Here is an 18,356-nt window from a genome sequence, read left to right on the forward strand (position 1 = left end):
ACCGAGCAGCTGGGCTCTGAGGCCCCGATTACCTTGGAGAGTCCAATCAGGGTAATGGCAGGCCCTTCTTTAGGAGCACTGAGCGTCAGGGGTGGAGGGGAGCTGGTGGAACTTGGAGAGGTGAGTTAACCCTTAGCCTTCCAGATCCAGAGGCTGGGGATCTGTGCCAGCCAGGCACACCCCACGGCAGAAGCCCTCCCAGAGGGGCCCTCTCTGAGGTCCACTTTTAACTCCCTCTGGGGCTGGATGGAGACTCAGGCAACCTGACCTTTTGAGTCCCCAGCCCTGAGCTTTCCTTATACTAAGGCCTTCTGATGAGTAGGATTAAGTTTGATGTTGGCAAGTTTTCTTTTGTTTTTGTTTTTTTTTTTTTTTGTTTTTTTTTTTTTTTTTTTTGAGACGGAGTATCACTCTGTCATCCAGGCTGGAGTGCAGTGGCACACTCTCAGCTCACTGCAACCTCTACCTCCTAGGTTCAAGCGATTCTCCTGCATCAGCCTCCCAAGTAAGTGGGATTACAGGCATCCACCACCATGCCTGGCTAATTTTTTGTATTTTTTAATAGAGACGGGGTTTCACCATGTGGGCCAGGCTGGTCTGGAACTCCTGACCTCAAGTGATCCACTCGCCTTGCCCTCTCAAAGTGCTGGGATTACAGGCGTGAGCCACTGCGCCCAGCCGAGTATTTTTAATTGTCTGTGTGTGCCCAGCGCTGTATCTGGCACTGTGGGTGTGACACTCTCCCTGTGTTCTGGCCTCTGCTGGGTGGGACTACGTCTTTGTAGACCATGGATTGCTGGCACTGCCTGCCCCGAAGGCGGCTTGGAGAAGCGGCATGGTGAGCTCCGGAATCACAAGACCCCTTGATTCTCATCCTGTTTCTGCCATCAGTCAGTTGACTTTGAGTGTCACTTATTATCTGGACCTTGGCTTCCTTGTCTGCATAATGAGGACAGGAATACCTCCCTGCCACCTCACAGGGTTAGGCCATGCCATGCTGTATTTAGCCTTTGATTTTATGGGTAACAAATTCAACAAATACTCAAATACTCATTGGCTTCTCGGATATGGAAGACACACAAATGAAACACCGCCCTGCCCCGCAGAAGCCTGTGGTCTAATGAGGGAGACAAGTAGAAACCCACGCAATTGTGACCCTAGGCTGGCTGGACACCACACACACACACACACACACACACACACACACACACACACACACTGGCTGGGGCTGCAGAGGCCAGAAGGCACTTAGTTGGGGCAGCCTGTTAAAAGCGTAGGTGATTAGAGCTATGTGACACAGGATGCAGCACATCCCAGTCAGTGGTTTGGATTTTCTCCTCTTTGGCACTGGAGAGGTTGGAGGGCTTTGGGGTCAGGGAAGGATGCAGTTGTAGCTCTGCTTTTGGGAGGGGTCTCTGGTGGCTGCAGAGACGGTAGATGGGGTGGCAGAGCAAGACGTGCAAATAAATATTCTCTCCCCCAGCCCGCTCTCATTACCAGCTGTCTAAATCTATAACTCTGTTCTAGGAAAGAGATCTCATCCCACTTCCTATTTCCCAGCATTATTTTTTCCTGAGGTTTCAAAACCAGCACCTTTGAAGCTCCCACTGTCCCCTCCTCATTCCCGGCCAGGGTCTGAATTTTAACCATCCTATTTTCTTTACCGATTTTATGATAAACAGCCCAGTGTTTTCCCACACATTTCCTAAGTGTGTCAGGCTGTCCCTCAGGGCACTGCTGCATCCCTTTGCGCCGAGATGCCCAATCTTGTCCCCACCCTGGATACATGATTGTCCCCAGATCCCACTGGTTCCTTCCAGGTGGCCAGCATATTTCCAGCCCACCCCCGATCCATAAACTTTGGAGCCAAGTGTCCATCATCTCGGGCTGAATCTGGGTCAGGCTGGCTCATAAACTAGCCCACGGAACAGGCCCCTCAACTCCACCACAGAGCACCTGTCCTGATTTTTCACAGTTTTCTTGCCACTCTCATGTCTGGGGGTCTTGGCTGCCCCTAGCAACCACCACAGCGCTATCACTGCGGAGAAAAACTTCCCATCGCTGCGGAATCCCCACAGCCCCATCCTTGCTGCTCCCCTTACTCAAGTCAGTCTTTTGCTACTGATACAGAAATGAAATAATTCTACTTAAAACTCTCTGACCCCTACACTTTCTTGAAATACCTTTCATTCCTAAAGTTCAGAAGAATCCTGCCAGCTTGACAAGCAGACCCATCTGCATTTTCCAGCCCAGTTCTGCCACCACCCCCTATGTCAGAACCAACAGTTAAACTCATGTGATAGTCAGAGCCACTTCCCTGAAATGTTCGACCCCGTGACATTTTAAGGTTCTTTCCTTTGCCCTGACTTCTGCTGTCCAGTGGCTCTGTTCTGAGAATGGCAGTTGCTGCCTGTGCTGGAAGATATGACAGGTTTGGACATTGGCACAGCCCCAAAGTATTGCTCCAAACCAAGAAGCAAGGCTTGTGGGGATCTGTGGGATTCATTCTTGCTCTAAACTCCAGGCTCCTGGAGGCCCCTCCTGGTTTGGACAGGCTGAGGGAAGAGGTCCTTCCAGCTGAGGAAGCCAGTCATTCCTGGCCTGATGCCTGAAGAGCCCCTGTCTTCCCCTCCCTGTGTGGGCTGTCAGGAGAGGGCCCCTGGGGGCTGGGCTCACTTTGCCTGTGCCCTCCGCGGCTCTTCAGGGAAGCATGGCTGACTGCCTGCTCCATGCCCAGTCTTTTCCATCCAGACTGCTCATTGCACTTTTTATGGCTTGGAGCTGGTGGTTTATGGAGCAGGAGAAAGACAGCAGTAGGACTGAAGGAAGGGCAGACTGGTTGGGAGCGGGTGGATGGTGCTTGTAACCTCTGGGTAAGCCCAAAGACACTGTGTAAATTATAGCCTGTGTCTTGCTCCGGGCCCACTTTGCATTCCTGATCAGGTCTCCATGTTCTACCGGGAGGAGGGTGAGCTCTGATTCCCTCACACAGGGCGTGGCCCCTCCTGCCTTTCCCAGCCCGTTCCGGTGGTGAGGAGTCTTCGGAACCATGAGCACCACGAGTCAGCACCTCCTGCATGAGCCTGACTTCCAGGCCTAGTGGGCTTTGTGGCACTGTAGAAGGTTTCGCTCCACATCCTGGAAAACGCCAAGGAAAATGCCTCATGGTGAGGCCACTCAGGGGGTCTGAAGAAGTGGGAAGAAAGCTTCATCCATAGACAGACACCCTCGCATGGGCTTTCACCATGTGGAGCTCTGTGGGATAGGACTTGACCTGTGTTCTGCCTGGTAGCCAGTTCTGAGTGTTCCCCAGGCCAGCGGCAACTGTCCCTGGCTGGCTAGCTGGAGGAGATGGACCCTGATGTGAGCCCCAGGGCAGGGACTTGGTTATCTGCCAGGGCACAGCTGGAGCCCACCCTGTCCCATGTGCCCTGAGGACATGAGGGTTTGAGCCAGGCAAGTGGCATTACATTTTCACTGTGCTCCGGCCCAGATGTGCTGCATAGGCAGCTCTCTCCACACGGTGTTGAGTTGGGACACAGGGAAAGTGCCCATTACCAAAACAGACAATATCAGGCCAAGACAGACAGTCAGGGAAATGGCCAAGGAAAGGACACACGCTCTCGGCAGAAGTCCTCGATCTCCAGGCCTCGGGGCTGGTTGCCCGAGATCTGCATGGGCTGGGGGTCAGAAGGCAAGCAGAAGGTGCACGCGCCTTGCTGTGGCATGGCCCCTGCCCTCAGGAAGCCTGCGCTTGCATCGTGGGAAAGGGAACCAAACATAGAAGTGAGCATGGTGTCATGGGGACAAGGAGGCACAGGGAGGGTTACTCCATGGAGAGCAGGCTGTAGGTGCTGACAGGCCTCTGTGGAAGGAGGGCTCGAGGCACCCTGAACGGTATGGCTTGATGGAGGCCAAGGCAATGAAGGGGACACATTTAGGGAGTGGACAGAGGAGCAGAAGGAGGAATGAGTTTGGTCTGACTGGGGCTAGTGAGGAGGAGGCTGGTTCAATGGAGCCAGAGAAGGCCCTGGGCAAGAGGGAGGGGTGGGCTGCGAACAGTGGAAGGAATAGACTGTGAGGGCTTTGAAAGGCAGGTTTGCTTTTGATGTAATGAAAATAGTGAGTCACTGAAGGTTTTAGAGTGACGGCATGACACAAATGAGAGTAGGCTGGGAGGAGGACGATCACGAAAACAGGAAATGAGTGGACAAGGCTGCTGGGATTTGGGTTGTAGATTGAATTTGGAATGGGGCTGGAGACTCACTTTTGGGTGGGGCAGGGTTGAAGACAGTGGACAATGGAAATCCATTGCTGATATTCAACGCATAGTCCCCTGTCCCATCCAGACCCAAACGGGTCAGTAGGGTAAGCTGGATATGTGATGTGATGGGGAAAGGTCTTCAGGAGAAGGTCACAATGAAGAGAAGGGGCCAGGATCCCAAGTGGAGGAGGTGGTGGAAGGGACCCATCAGGGTGCAGTGGGGTCTCTGGGGGCCAGGAGACCATGGAATACAAAGATGCAAGTACCTGAGCTGTGCTCCTCTTGCCATGGGAGACCTCTGCTGTCCTGCGAGCCTTGAGGACAGTCTGGCCTATAAAACTGGAATGAGAGGCAGAACCATTTGGATATTTGATTGCGAGGCTGCTCTGAAAGGCTCCATATTGCCTTCGCCACCGTGCACTGGACAGGACTGCCACAGGAGCTGGCGCTGACCCTCCAACTGCTCCCCCCAGCTCCATCTCCATTTTCCCAACCTTCATGGGCCCATGGCTGAGGGCCTGGGGGTGAAAGCAAGAGGCAAGTGCCCACCCTTTGGGGCTGGCAACCCCTACTCCCCAAGCAGAAGAGCAGCTTGGTTCCCTAATTGAATAATATGTGGAAATAATGGGATTTCTCCTAGAATCATCGGTTATGTTTCGGAGCCAAATCATAACGAGAAAGTCATTAGTGGTAATAAACACAGCGGAGAGCCCGGGACATGATCCGTCAGGGATCTGACACGGTGGGGAGGGGTAGTCATCCCATTTGCATTTTCGTTTGCTAGCAGAATGTCACTAGCATTCCTGCCCCCCTCAAAAAAGTCAAGACACTAGAAAACACATTCATATAAGACATTTTTCTTGGTATCACTGATGCTGAGGACAGTGCAGCCAGGAGTAGCTTGGCCTCTGCCAAGTGGCCTTAAAAACTGGGTGTTTTTAAGGGAATATAAAGAGCCTTTCTCATTTTGATGTCCAAGGAGCCCAGTGATGAAGGAACAGTGTGTGGACCGCAGGCTTTTGGTTTCTCCTCCTGCCTGTCCCATCAGTCCATCCCAAAAAAACCCCAGCTGAAGGCATCTCAGCCATTTATCTGGCTTTATCCTAGGCCCCAAATCGACAGTGACAGTGGCCCTTGAAGGAGCCCTGAGTTTGGGCCCACGCTGTGTTAACTGAGTCAAACATCACTTCGTTTCCCTCTCCTGACTGTTTTTGCGATGATGGTGTTATTATCATCTTATTTCACAAACAAAGAGACTGAGGCCAAGAACTGAAGCCGACTCCTCCCACTCACTCGGCTGGTATAGAGCAGAGCTGGGATTCAAGCCTATGGTTCTCCCACTCCCTCAGTAGGGAGCCCTGCACAGAGTAAAGCTGTCGGTTTCCCTCTAAGCCTCAGCAGCCAGCACTGTCCACATCACTGAGTCCATTTTACAGATGGGAGTCACTGAGATCCAAAGTCAGGCCAATATGTACAGCAAGGCCAGGAAAAAGATACGCAGGTCTGCATTGCTCCTGGCCCTACCCGCCCCCACCAGGTCTCCATGGTCACGTTGCTCAGGAAGAACAACTACGAAAGTGATCAATGAGTTCATTTCCGATACACTAGGGGTTGACGAAAGCTGAGAACTTCTCACAGTCTCCAGCATGTGTTAATAACTCGCCACCAGGTCCCCCAGTGAGGGAAAATATGTCAGCCTGGTGCCTGGCAGTTTCTTGGCTTATTGCATGGCCACCATCAACCTCCCAGATTCCAGAGGATCAACTATCAGAATTGGAAGGGACCTTCCAGCCTGTCTGGCCTCACTCGACGTTTGGGAAAACTGAGGCCCAGACGAGTGAAATGACTTGTTCTAGGGCCCGTGATTGCTGGAGCCATTGGCCCGCCCCAGCCAAAAGCCATTTCTCTTCCTGCTTCCCTGTCATGTCCAACATATTTTTTTTTCTGTTTCTCCGATTAATCTGATTTTAGCAAAACGGTACAAGGCAAGTGCATCAAGACTGTCTGATGCTGAGGCGAATATACTCCAGCAAATGACAGGCAGCTAGAACAACTGCCTTGTCCATGGATACAGCGTGCAACAAACTCGCAGGAGTTTGCAATCATTCATAACTGTATTTTCTTTTCTGTGAATGAGTGCATCTGGGTTCTGAAAGTATACCAGGTGCTTTTGCCTGCCCTACTCTACTAAATCCTCACCTGTGGCCAGTGTGGGAGTTCTTACCGCTCAGTATAGATGAGGAAACCAAGGCTGGAGGCAGTGTTTTGCCAAGTTCTCATGGTTGGTAAAGGGACAGAATAAGAAATCAGGAGACATGTGTAGGGACGAGAGAACAAAAGCCTGAAGCCCTGAAACTGCTCTCCTCACTTGATTTTGACCCTGGGAACATGGCTCAGCCTGTATCCAGGGAACCTGGGGAGTTTCCGGTGCCTTGGTCCTTCCAGTCCAGACATGAATCCTCCTCACGCTGTGGCTCTGCCTAGGGAACTACCACTCCCTAGTTCTCTCCCCACTGGTGGGACAGGTGTGTGACAGTGTCCTCCAGAGGGCAGACACCTGGACCCATCCACGCCGTAGCCCCTTTGCCCTTCCCCTGGGAACCCCAGCCAGGAACCCAGAGTGAGCACCCTGGCTTATGGTGCAGCCCCAGCCTAGGACCCTCATGCCTGTCCAGACCAGTCCCAGCCCTCCTGGACCCAGCCCACCTATAGCCTGGCACTCCAGGGCTCCCTCCTGGCTCCTTCCAGCAGGAGACCAAGTCTTTGGAATAAAAATCAGAGGTGTCAGCTTAGTGTGCAGGGCCAGGGGAGGACCACTTGCTTTTCTCTCTCTCTTTCTCTCTCTCTCTGGTCTTTCTTTCTCTGCTTGTGGCTTTGTTTGTTAGACGCATGTCAAGCCTGATGAACTAAATGATGCAAAACTAGAGATATAACAGCTCCTTTTATCTCCCATTTCAAAACCCAATTTGTTCCTGCTGTCTCCTGAGGGCTGCATTGCAAACCCAGCCTCTCTCCTCCTTGGAGAACTATGCATATTCAAGCCCTCTCCCTCTCCTGCCTTCCCACTCCACTCTACTTCTTTGCTCCCTTCTCTCTCTTTCCTCTCTCCCTTCTCTCCATACCTGTTTCTCTTAGACTCTCTACCTTCTTTCTTTCCCATCTTCTCCCATTTACCCCTTTCTCTGACTCTCTTGACCTCTCTCTGTCTCCCTGTTTCTTCTCTTTCTCCCTCTCCTGCTTGCTCCCCACCCATCTTCCCCTTTCCCTCTCCTTGAAGACAGGCTGCATGTGTTTGCCTTTGTCTTGTTAAATGGTGGAAGAGCAAGGATGCTCACTGGTGTAGCGCCTGGCAGGGAGCAAGTTGGCTTCAGAACACTTTCTTTGCTGCCTGGACCCTGGTGGGGAGCCAGGGACCTCCCTTTTAACAGGACCCCGCTAGTGTGCTGGTGGGGGCAGTCCTGGGTGGACCATGACTTTCTGCTCACTAAGGATGTGGGGCATAGGCCATCTCAGATGTTAAGCCGTCAGGCAGTATGATCTTCCTCCGGGGTAGGGGGATGGAGCTGGAGGGGGCCGAGGCTCACGTGCAGACCAGAGTGCACAATCCTCCTGGGTCTGCACTAGGGAACCCACCCTCTTATCAGCCCAGACCCTGGACCAGAAAGCAGCTCATTCTCCTCTGCCTTTCCCCCTCTCACTAGGCAATTTCAGCTTGACTGGGTTATTCAGTGCATGGTGCTAAGGCTCCTGCAGGCATGCCTGTATGGGCCAGTTACTAGACTGTGGTCAAGGAATGTCTCACCCGCCCCAGCCTTCCCAGACTCACAACTACTGGCCCTTGGAGATTGATAGAATCGTGGGGTCTGTGACGTTGCTGCCTGCACAAACCACACGTGCTGTTGGTGATGACTTAGCTGGTCTCACTACCCCAGGAAGACCCCCTGCTTATTCCCCCCATTTCACTTCTTCCCTGCTCTTTTGGACAGAGAAAGGAAAAGAAGGCTCTGAGATGGGGCTAGAGAAGGTCAGCTCAGGAAGGAGTCTCCACCTACCGTCTCTCAGTTGTGCCGACCAGGGCCCCAGCTGAGAAATTCCCCAGCAGCCCAGCTCTGTGCAAATCCCAAGTGCCCAGGTGACTTCCTGTCCCTTGGGTCTTGTTGGACTGGAGATGGCAGGCCCTGATGGGAGGGCTTATCCAGCATGACATAGCCGATCAGGCTGGAGCTAAGACCAGGACAAGGTCTTCTGCTTGCTGTCCCTGGGCCAGCTGCACACTTTGGGTGAATGGGTCTCTCTCATGTTCCCCAGTTTCCACCCCAAAGTCTGGTTCTTGGAACCCAGGTTCCTCCCACGCAGGCCCTACCCAACTCCATCCCTCTGGTGGTCAGGAGGTAAATAAGGAGAGGGCCCCAGATCTCCTGCAAGCCCAGCGTCCCTTGCACATGCTGCCAGAGCCCTGCTCCTGAGCACACAATTCTCATGCAGCTGATGGCCCCCCTGGAAATAGACAGTCATCAGGCTCTTATGGATCTTTCAAACCCCCTTCTCTCCCTAATAATCCCTCCTCTGGGGCGGTATTGATTCCCAGCCGCTGGCCGCCTCTTGGTATGCCAAGGCCCAGTTTGGGGTGGATAAATAGCTGTGCTGTCATTTTCACGCAGCAATTACCCGCTCTGATTCCTCTCCTCCTGGCCCCCGCAACAGCCACACGGTCACCTGCCTATTGACAACACACTCAAGCCTCAGCCAGCCGGGCAGGGAACCTATGGACCTGTGAGCCACAGCAAAGTTAGTAGGAACAGAGACTTTGGAAAGGCAAGTCTGGGGCCCTGGCCCTGGGCTAGAGGGCAGGTCCCAGAGCTGCAGGCTGCTAGGAGGAAACTTCTTCACTCTGGACATTGAGGAGCACTGTGGAGAGTGTGCGTGCTATCATTTGATGGGATTCACCTGTGCATGTGTGGCTAGAGAACTTCCGGCAGGAGTTTCTGCACCCAGCTCCCTCCTTGGGTTTTCCCACTCCTGGCTGCTCTGGGGGTTTGGAGGCCAGGCTTAGTTCAGTCTTACATCAGAGGTCAGCAAAGATTTTCTATAAAGGGCCAGAGAGTAAATGTTCAAGGCTTTGCAGGCCATATGGACTCTGTTGCAACCACTCACCTTTCTTGTGATACAAAAGCAGCCACAGATAGCATATAAAAGACTGAGGACAACGTGTTCCAATACAAGTTTATAGATGCTGAGATTTGAATTTTATATAACTTTTACACATCACAAAATATTATTCTTCTTTTGATTTTTTGCTAAGCACTTAAAAATGTAAAAATCATTCTTTGCTGGTGGTTTCAACAAAGACAGGCAGTGGGCCAGATTTGGCCCACAGACCATAGTTTGCTGACCCCTGATTTATATCTACAAAAGACGGTAAGGACTTTTTTCCTCTCCTCATTTTCCAGATAAGGAAACTGAGGCTGTGAGAGGCAGTGGCTTGGTCCCATGCAGGAGGAAGGCGCCTTCTATCTAGGGATCGCTCAGTGTGTGAAGACCCTCTCAGGATCTTCGATGTAGTTGACTTGGAGATAGAAAGGTGGCGTAGCTTAGTAATTAACAGCCAGGTATCTGGGCATCACAGCCTGGGGTTGGATCCCAGCTCTGCTCGCTCCATGTGACCTTGGGCAAGTTACTTCTTTTCTCCAGAACCTCCTTTTCCTCATATGGAGAATGAGGGAGAGTGGGATAGAGGACAAAAGAATCCCTAGGATCGTCCAGCTGGGAGAATATTGATTAATCTGTGACTCTGTGATTTGCAGCCCTCAATCCTCTGTCTTTAGGGTCTTGCTGTGCTTAAGGATTCTTGGTCACAAGGCTGCCACCTCCGATGGCAGGACTCAGGGCCTGGCCTCCCTGCCTGCCCAACAGATGTCAGTTCTCCAGGGCCCCCTCTGCCCACAAGTCTTTGCCCTGTACAGCCTCTCTCTGGGCTTTGCAGGGAGGCTGAGCTCAGCAGGCGCCCACCTAGGCAGGAGGCCGAGAAGATAAGGCCAGCCAAGACCTGGCTGCTGATACCTGGCGTGAAATTGAAAAGCACCAGACTCCTGCCTCCACAGCCTGGTGCCCTGAGGGAGAGAAGGCTGGGAATGGTGAATGAAACTGACCCGCCCAGCCAGCAGGGCCAGGCTCCAGGCTGCCACACTTCAGCTCTCCCCACCCCTTCCCCTGGGGGAGGCACAGGCTGAGCGGGTTCTTCGAGGCTCTGAACAGCAAGCCCCTTTCCAGGGTGGCAGCGTGCAGGGGGCTTCTGTGAGCCTAGGGGCTTTAGTGGGCCCCTGGTTTTGAAGTGGGGGACAACCACCAAAAAGGGGAATTGGATGGGAGTGCCCTTGCCTTGTGGAATTAGGCCTGTCCAGAGGCCAGCGTTGCAGTGCTCTAAGGTCATTGTAATGCAAGGCTAGCAAGTCCAGAACTTCTCAGAACAGCCCGAATGCACAGACTTATGAGACGCTGTTCCTCCAGGGCCCCATTCAGCAGGTGTGGACACCAAGGCCCGGAGAGCTGAGCACCCGGCCCCACCCAGGAGTACAGGGAGTTGGGTGGGGACCCAAGTGTCTGATTTCTGGAGCAGGGCTTTCACTTCTGCAGCCCAGTATGGTCCAGAACTTGTCACCCTCATCCTCAGGCCTGTTGTCCCCGAGGACCTCCATTATCCAGAGAGCACTGGAAGAAACCTTGCTGTAGTAGACCTGAGGATGGGGACAGCTCCCCTCTCTCCTTACCCTCACTGTCAAAGCACCCACAGATCAGATGTCTGATGGTAATGACCTCTCCAGGGTCTGGCCCACAGCATGTTTATTAGGGTCCATATGCAGCCGATGCTGTCCATGCCGGGTGAATACATGCCAAGTGATTTCCTGTTCACCCAGTTCCGCATAGATGATTCTGGTTATAACAGTGCAAGCTAAGAGGGAGGAAGTCAACCATTTTTTTTCCATCAGCAATCTGAATTTTACAAGTCCTCATGCTTCTCCTAGCCACTCTAGCAAGGGAAAAGGTTCTTTCCATTTGACAGATGGGAAACTGAGGCCCAGATGGGCACTGTGATTACCTTCAGGCTCTATAGAGTTCAGGGGCCAGGGTGGAGCTGAACCTCCCAGCACCCTCTTACCAGCCACCCCACCCCATGTGGGGATGTGGAGGATCCCAGGGCTGCTGGGACCTGTTGCTTCACAGTGACTTGGTTCTCCCAAAGCTGCTAAGTACTGTAGAGCAGAATGAAGTGCAGCAGACGGATCCTTGGGCCTCTTAGAGAGTGCCCCAATTTGTAAAACAAAGCTTGAGAAGGAGAAAAAAAAAAGATGGAAAAAAGCAAATTGGAAGCAAGAGCAGGCTGTATTTTCCATCCCTTCAACCATCAGCTGCTTTAAAGGGCCAGCCTCGTCCTCGTGGGGCAGGATAGGATAAGGAGGCAGGCCTGAGCTTTTAATCAGAGTTATGTTAGATAAAGCTTTTATTATTCACCTGGCTTTATTATAGCTCTTTCCTGAGGTTAGAAGCTAATTTTCCTGGTTTTTACCGAACTCTGGTCTGCTTGGCTGCCACAGATGCAGGAGAGGTGGACGGGAGTAGCGGAAAAAAGGGAGATGGGGGTAGAAATCAAATCAAATAAACTCTCCTCATCCAGTGGACCGAGAGAGTGGGCGGAAAACAACTCTAATAACAGGGGAAGTTTCCAGAGGTGGAAGCAGGCTGGTGAAATCAGGCCTAATCAGCTCTAGCAGAAGGGGTTCCAATCACCCCCAGCCTCACCAGGGGGAGGGCAGAGTGGACGAAGCTGGCGATGGGAGTAGGCTGGGGGCTGGACAGTGGCAGGCAAGGCAATCAGAGCCCTGCCAGCAGAGCCTGCCCCACGCCCGCTCCCACCCTCTGCCTTGTGTTCCAGCCACAGGAGTGGGAATGCTGGCAGAGGGTTAACCGGTTAGTGACCGGGATGGAAAAGAGGAGGAGCATACCTACACCAGGCCCGGGGCCACAGGCACGTTGCCCTGGGACACGCTGCACACCCCAAATACCCCTCCCACAATCAGGCATGAAGTAGAAGCCACCAATGCCACAGACAAGACCCACGAGGCAAAGAACTTTGGCCACAGCTATCTGGGGGAAGAAGATAGTGCTCCGTTTTCTAACTCTCCCCACCTTCAAAGGGAGTCGGATCATTTTCAGTTGACTTCTCCGCCAGTCAGGAGCCCATCGAATGATGTTCCAATTTCTTGACAGTTAGAGAGTCATTTTATGGCTAGATTTAGAGGTTGGAGGTGGTCTGTGGCTGGGGTCTGGTGTCTGTGACTGGTGCAGTGTGTGCCCTGGGGTAACCCTGGGGACAGAGTCAGTCCCCGACCCCAACCCCTGGTGACAGTAGCAGGAGGGGAAAGCCACGTCCACCCTGTAAGTTACTGTCGAAGGAGGGATTCGCATCCACTAAACAGCCATTAGGCCAGAAGCACCAGATGCAATAGCTTGAAAGAGACAGCAGTGCTCACCCCAGCCTTTCCTGGGGGTTGATCATTTAATCTCTTTAGCTCCTGCTACAAGAGGGAAAGAAGACTGCAGAGAGGAGAGGTGATATTGAGACAGGCACCGTGCTCCCAGGCCACGGCAGGGGAGGGGGAGGACAGAGCAGCTGTCCCTGCCAGAGAGGTCAGTGGCCTTCGGAGAAACCCATTAGACCGTTCTCATCCACCGTGCGTTTCATTAAAAGTGAGACAGTTTGCACCTTCCACTTTCTCGGGCTGTCTTCAGGTTGTCGTCATCAATGAGCCTGCCCTGTGTCCCCTGCAGGGGCTGATTTCTGTTTGCTCCATAAGGAGACCCGATGCTTACCCCCAAAGAGTCTTTTGCACTTTCAGTTAGTCTGATAAGCTTTAGATGCCACATACCATCTTCCTATTTGCTATCATTCATTTATTCATTCAAGAAACAGTTCTTCAGGGCCTACTGTGTGCTAAGCACTGTTCCCAGAGCTGGGGACGCAGCCAAACAAAACTGATGGAGTCCCTGCTGTTGGCACCTTTCATCTAGTGGGGGAGACAAGACAACCAACGCATACATCTATGTCTGCTGGTGAGAAGGGCCACAAAGAAAAATAAAGCAGGCAAGTGGCTAGCGCAGGCTTTGTGGCCAGGGAGGGCCTCTCTGAGGACATGTGAGCAGAGACCTTGAGGGAGTGAAGCACGCATTATCTTAGGGGAGGTGACTCTCCAGGTAGAGGACAGAGTGATTGCAGAGGCCACCCCCACCCCCCAGGGAGTGACGGGCAATGCCAGGAGGACATCTGGGGTGGTATAGACACCCGAGGGAAGTACCAGGGCCAAACAGAAGTAAGACTGAAAGCAGAGGGTTTTGGAGTCTTGTGTAACCCGGCTGTCCAAGTTTGCCCATCCAAGGATTTCTGGTCTTGCAGCCTCATTTCCCCTCTGATCTGATGGCCACAGCATTCTCACACCCAGGACAGGGAAATCACTGTTTTCCAGCTCATATCCCCTCTCGGTGTCTTGTCTCAAAGCCCCTCCGCCTCTCCAGTGCTGGTCATGGTCTCCTTACCAATGCCCCTTCTCCATGTTTATTTCAGCAACTGTAACTCAGTCCAAAGCATCTTCCTCTCTACCTTTAGAGCTTGTGGAGACATTCGTAAAAGAAACAGAGGCATTTGCTCGTGCGGAAAAATGGATTTTGAGTGGCTCCTCTATACCAGGCAGAGCGATATGATGGTACCGGAGCTACTGTGGTGAGCAAGGCAGTTGTGGAGTTTTAATGCAACGCAAGCAATTTTAAGGTGGTGTAATAAATGCTGTGATGGAGGCAGTGCAGAATGTGGGCTCTGGGAGCCCACAGAAGGGGCACCCAACCCAGGTTCAGGGAATTAGGGAGGGCTTTCCAGAGGAGGTGATAAACAAGTTGGGACTGAAACATGCATAGGAGTTGGCCTGCGTGTCCACTGCACCTAGAACACAGAACATGCCTGATATATAGTAGGTGCACGGTCATTATTAGTGGAATGAATGAATGGGGAAGAATGTTCCAGACAGACAGAACAGCATGAGCAAAGATCCACAGGTACCAGATTCAGGCAGTGGAGGAGCTGGGAACTAGGACACAGGTGCATCGCCCTTCCTGTCACACCTCCTGACATGAAGATGGGCACTCTGCCTTCACAGATGCCTTCAGACTCTCTAGGTGCCTGTCAGTGTGCCTCCACTTCCCAGCAGGGGCTAGGACACAGTGCTCGGTGAATATTTGTTGAATGAATGAGAGGGAGAGACTTCAGAGCTGGTATTTCCCAGCCATCTCATTAAATAGGCAGATGAGGGGCAGGTCAAGAGACGGGTGGCCAGGGTGTCATTCATTCAACAGTGATGTTTTTCAGTACCTGTTTAATACAGGGCACTGGGCCGGGCCCTGGGGACACAGTGGAGAGCAGACTTGGGCATGGACCCACCCCAAGGAGCTTACAGTCTAGTGGGGAGTCAGATGGTGACCAGAGAGTCACCTAATGTCAGTGGGATTGGAGACCCAGAGAATAGCCAGGTAACTCTGAGCAAATACAGCCAAGGACCCGATCCAGACTGGGGGTCAGAGAAGCCTCTGGAGGAAACAGGCCTGGGTGAGATGTGAAGGCTGAATAGGCAAGAGTTGGGGGTGAAGATGAGGAAAGGATTCTAGCAGACGGATGGCACAGGCAGCGGCTGGAGGCAGCGCAACACCCAGTTCATCTGAGGAAGTGCAAGGCCAGAGGGCTGGAGGGAGGCGAGGAGTCAGTGAAGCCGAGAAGGGCAACCAGGCAGGCCAGGCAGCGCAGGTGTGGAAGGGCTTCTGTGGTGTTTATCTGGAGGTCAACAGGAAGCCACTGTGGAGTTACTGGAGGACTGGAATAGGGTTGTGGCGACACGCCCAGATATGTATTTCAGGGCATTCATAGCGCCACGGGGGAGTCCACATTGCAGGGCCAGAGAGGCTGTGGAGCCCAGTGAGCCGGTCCCCGCAGGGGTGGTGGTGGGTGGGAGGGACAGGAGCAAACTGCTCCTGGAGGCAGAATTGCAAGGAAGAGTCTGGTTTCTGGCTCAGTGGTGGGTGCAGAGGGAATGTATTGACATTCATGGAGCCGGGGACACAGTTTCCAGAGTTTGTTCTTAGGCGTGCTGAATCTATGCCGTCTTTGAGACTCCTGCAGAGGCATCAAGTGGACGGTGGCTTGTTTGGGACCCAGAGAGGCCTCCATGGAGATGGGAGTGTCTCAACTGCTGTGGCCAGGGCTAAGCAGCCACTTGGCGTGCTTGACTCCAGCCGGGAACAGGAGCCGGAAGAGAGGCCCCGTGGGGTAGGGTCAGTCGGAGGCTGGCCGCTGCTCCTCCAGCCTGCCTGGAGCCTGTCAGCTGCGTGGTGACGGAATGCATTTCTCTGCACCGGAATAGATTTGGGCTCAGCAGTTGGCTCTAAGTGCTTTTTGCCCTGACGTTCAGAAATGAGCACTGGGGCAGCGGGAGGGCTGGGATTGGGGAGGGAGCCCAGGGGACAGGGCCACAGCCTGCGGGGGCCTGCTGCACGCCTGAGTAAATACGTGTTTGCCACATCACACGCAGTCATGCGGGGTGGAGACAGAGAGGGGAGAGTGTCTTTGTGTATGTGTGTGCGTGGTGGAGGGGGGTGATGGCATATGGACTTGAGCTCCTAATCCAGTGGCCTCAGAGTACAGGAATATCTCGAGGTCCAGGAGGGGTGCACAGAGCCTGACAGCTGCCTCCACCGAATACGTCTTCTTTATCTTCATGTAGATCTTGGTCAGAGGCACCAGCTCTCCTCCAAGTGGAAGGGATTAGGGGACAGGAGAAGCAACATCAGAGGTGGGCTGGGAAGAGGTAATGTAGAGCCCCAACTTGGGGAACCAGGAGGAAAACACAGTCCCATGTGCATGTGCAGCCTCCCTGCAGGTCTCTGGGTGTGTGATGCCAAACCTTGCCAAGGGGGGCACTGTGTACACACAGAGACAGAGGGAAAAAGGAAGTAGTACAGTCCTCAGGGTAGTACTTAGTGGTTGTCATTTTATCTTTTAGGGGAACAACTTTGGTATAATAAAGACTTCATTTAAGATCAGTGTTGAGCTGCCTCCTTTATTAGACTGCAAAGCCTGTCCCCATGAAGAAGCCACTGGCTTTGCCATACTTAGGCAAAGCCTTCCAGAGAGTTCTTGAAAAACCAGCTCTGAGCCTGACTAGGCCTCTATCTTGGTTCAAGAGAAATGACTTCCTGCCTGCAATCACCATAACCGATAGCTCATGAGACAGAGACAGTAAATAATTGTTCCACAAGTTTCAAGAGCAAGCGTAATTAGTACAGTTAACAGTGTTAGGTGATTAATTGGTTCATTCAGCACCATTGTGAATGAGGCAGAGCGTAAGCAGGGGAGGGGCCAGAGCCCCCAGACACCCAAATGTGGATATGGCCCACTACTGATCAGCCAGGATCTGACCCCTGAAACAGCAGCCAACAGCTAAAAGGCATTCACCTCCAAGAGCTGGGGCTCCTTGGGCCAGAGCAGAGGGCAGGTCACTGGGCAGGGCCCACAGAGTTTGTCCCATTAGTGGACATTCAGGGCTGGAAAGAACTGGATTTGGCTTCCATATTGTTTCACCTGTTTGCCAAAGGTCAGAAAGCTGTTGTAAGTGAATGATAAGACTGACCGATTAGCCCATATAGGAGGGGAGGGGGCACGGATGCATAGAGTCCCAGCCTGTGGGGTTGGAGGGACTCCAGAGAGGGGTCATCTACTGGATCTCTTGACCACTGAGCTGAACTGCTCTGGGGCATCCCTGTCAGAGGAGACTGGGCTCTATTTTAAAGTCCTCCAGGGAAAGATGCTCTAAACAGGGGTAACAAGCAGCAATTCAAATCATGTGCCAACTCCAGGCCTTCGATGGAAGCTGCTTATCAGCATGTTGGGTAGAGAATCCCGAGGCTCAGTCTGGGAAGAGCACTGTGCTTGACTGGCACTGCCTGCCCTGAGTGCAGAACAGAGGAGAGGCAGCCTGCGGGCCATTTTCAGATCAAAATCCACCTGGGTCACTCAGGCGGGTTTTACACTTTTCTCCAAGGTAGTTTCTTGGGGCCTCACTTACTGCCCCAGAGAAGCGAAAACGGTCTTGACTGCAACTTCAAGGCACTAGAGGGTGTGAGAGATGATCAGGAAGGCAGCTGCAGACCCAGCTTGTGGGGCGGGGTCGGGGAGGTTCCTTTCTTGACCTTGTGGGACTACAAGGTCCCACAGACCTTGAAGCACAGAGCAGGGTGGAGAGTTGGGACCAGCCTGCTGGGTTTATCTAGCTATCCCTGCCTCCGCCAGGATATTAACGGGCTTCCCGCAGATGGAAACTTCTCTTTGGAAACAGGGTATTGGGAGCTTTAGATTAAGGCAGAGCTGAGTCCCAAGACTGGCCCTCCTCTCAGGAGCTAGGAATAAGGCCTTGAGCTCTCTACACTTGTTTCTCCTCCTTTACAATGGGGATAAAGCCTCAGGGACTGTTGTGAGGGCTGAAGAGGAGAAAGTACGTAAAACTTCTAGTACAGCCTTGGTCATGGGACATATGAATTCTCCCACAGATGTTCTGAGGTTTGGGGTGACACATTAAGACCAGACTGACTATTCCAGTGACTTGGCAGGCTGAGGAGTCGGGGATCGCTTGAGGCCAAGAGTTTGAGACCAGCCTGGGCAACATATCAAGAGCCCATCTCTGTAAAATTAAAATAAACATAAGTGAGCTAGATGTAGTAGTGTGCACCTGCAGTCCCAGCTACTTGGGAGACTGACACATGGGAGGATTACTTAAGCCCAGGAATTTCAGGCTGCAGTAAGCTGTGATCGTGCCACTGCACTTTACCCTGGGCAACAGAGTGAGACCCTGTCTCAAAAAAAAAAAAAAAAAAGAAAAAAGAAAAAGAAAGAAAGAAAGAAAAGGAAAAGAGAAAGAAAAAAGACAAGGCTGCCTGTGGGAAACGTGTTGAGAATGAACAGCTGCTTCAGGCCCAAGTCCACCCCAGGGCCCCAGTGCTGTTA

At 52.7% G+C, this 18,356-nt stretch overlaps 1 protein-coding gene across 5 annotated transcripts in view, besides 5 other annotated features; it reads left to right on the forward strand.

Annotated features, from left to right (window-relative positions):
* CDH23 (cadherin related 23) overlaps positions 1–18,356 on the forward strand; it is a 419,028-nt gene that overhangs the window by 135,432 nt on the left and 265,240 nt on the right. The gene's annotated exons all lie outside the window — the stretch shown is intronic.
* Positions 2,927–3,748: an enhancer, noted in NCBI's record as "H3K27ac-H3K4me1 hESC enhancer chr10:73295035-73295856 (GRCh37/hg19 assembly coordinates)". NCBI's record gives its function as "activates a minimal SCP1, AML or CMV promoter by ChIP-STARR-seq in naive H9 embryonic stem cells {active_cell/tissue: H9 hESC(naive)}" and the evidence as "EXISTENCE:reporter gene assay evidence [ECO:0000049][PMID:30033119]".
* Positions 8,467–9,164: an enhancer, noted in NCBI's record as "H3K4me1 hESC enhancer chr10:73300575-73301272 (GRCh37/hg19 assembly coordinates)". NCBI's record gives its function as "activates a minimal SCP1, AML or CMV promoter by ChIP-STARR-seq in naive H9 embryonic stem cells {active_cell/tissue: H9 hESC(naive)}" and the evidence as "EXISTENCE:reporter gene assay evidence [ECO:0000049][PMID:30033119]".
* Positions 9,829–10,408: an enhancer, noted in NCBI's record as "H3K27ac-H3K4me1 hESC enhancer chr10:73301937-73302516 (GRCh37/hg19 assembly coordinates)". NCBI's record gives its function as "activates a minimal SCP1, AML or CMV promoter by ChIP-STARR-seq in primed H9 embryonic stem cells {active_cell/tissue: H9 hESC(primed)}" and the evidence as "EXISTENCE:reporter gene assay evidence [ECO:0000049][PMID:30033119]".
* Positions 11,660–12,169: an enhancer, noted in NCBI's record as "H3K4me1 hESC enhancer chr10:73303768-73304277 (GRCh37/hg19 assembly coordinates)". NCBI's record gives its function as "activates a minimal SCP1, AML or CMV promoter by ChIP-STARR-seq in naive H9 embryonic stem cells {active_cell/tissue: H9 hESC(naive)}" and the evidence as "EXISTENCE:reporter gene assay evidence [ECO:0000049][PMID:30033119]".
* Positions 15,194–15,388: a silencer, noted in NCBI's record as "fragment chr10:73307302-73307496 (GRCh37/hg19 assembly coordinates)". NCBI's record gives its function as "represses an EF-1alpha promoter that drives an FKBP-Casp9 reporter gene in an ReSE screen in K562 erythroleukemia cells {active_cell/tissue: K562}" and the evidence as "EXISTENCE:reporter gene assay evidence [ECO:0000049][PMID:32094911]".

The sequence above is a fragment of the Homo sapiens genome, chromosome 10 (assembly GCF_000001405.40).
Source record: "Homo sapiens chromosome 10, GRCh38.p14 Primary Assembly".
Lineage (NCBI taxonomy): Eukaryota > Metazoa > Chordata > Mammalia > Primates > Hominidae > Homo > Homo sapiens.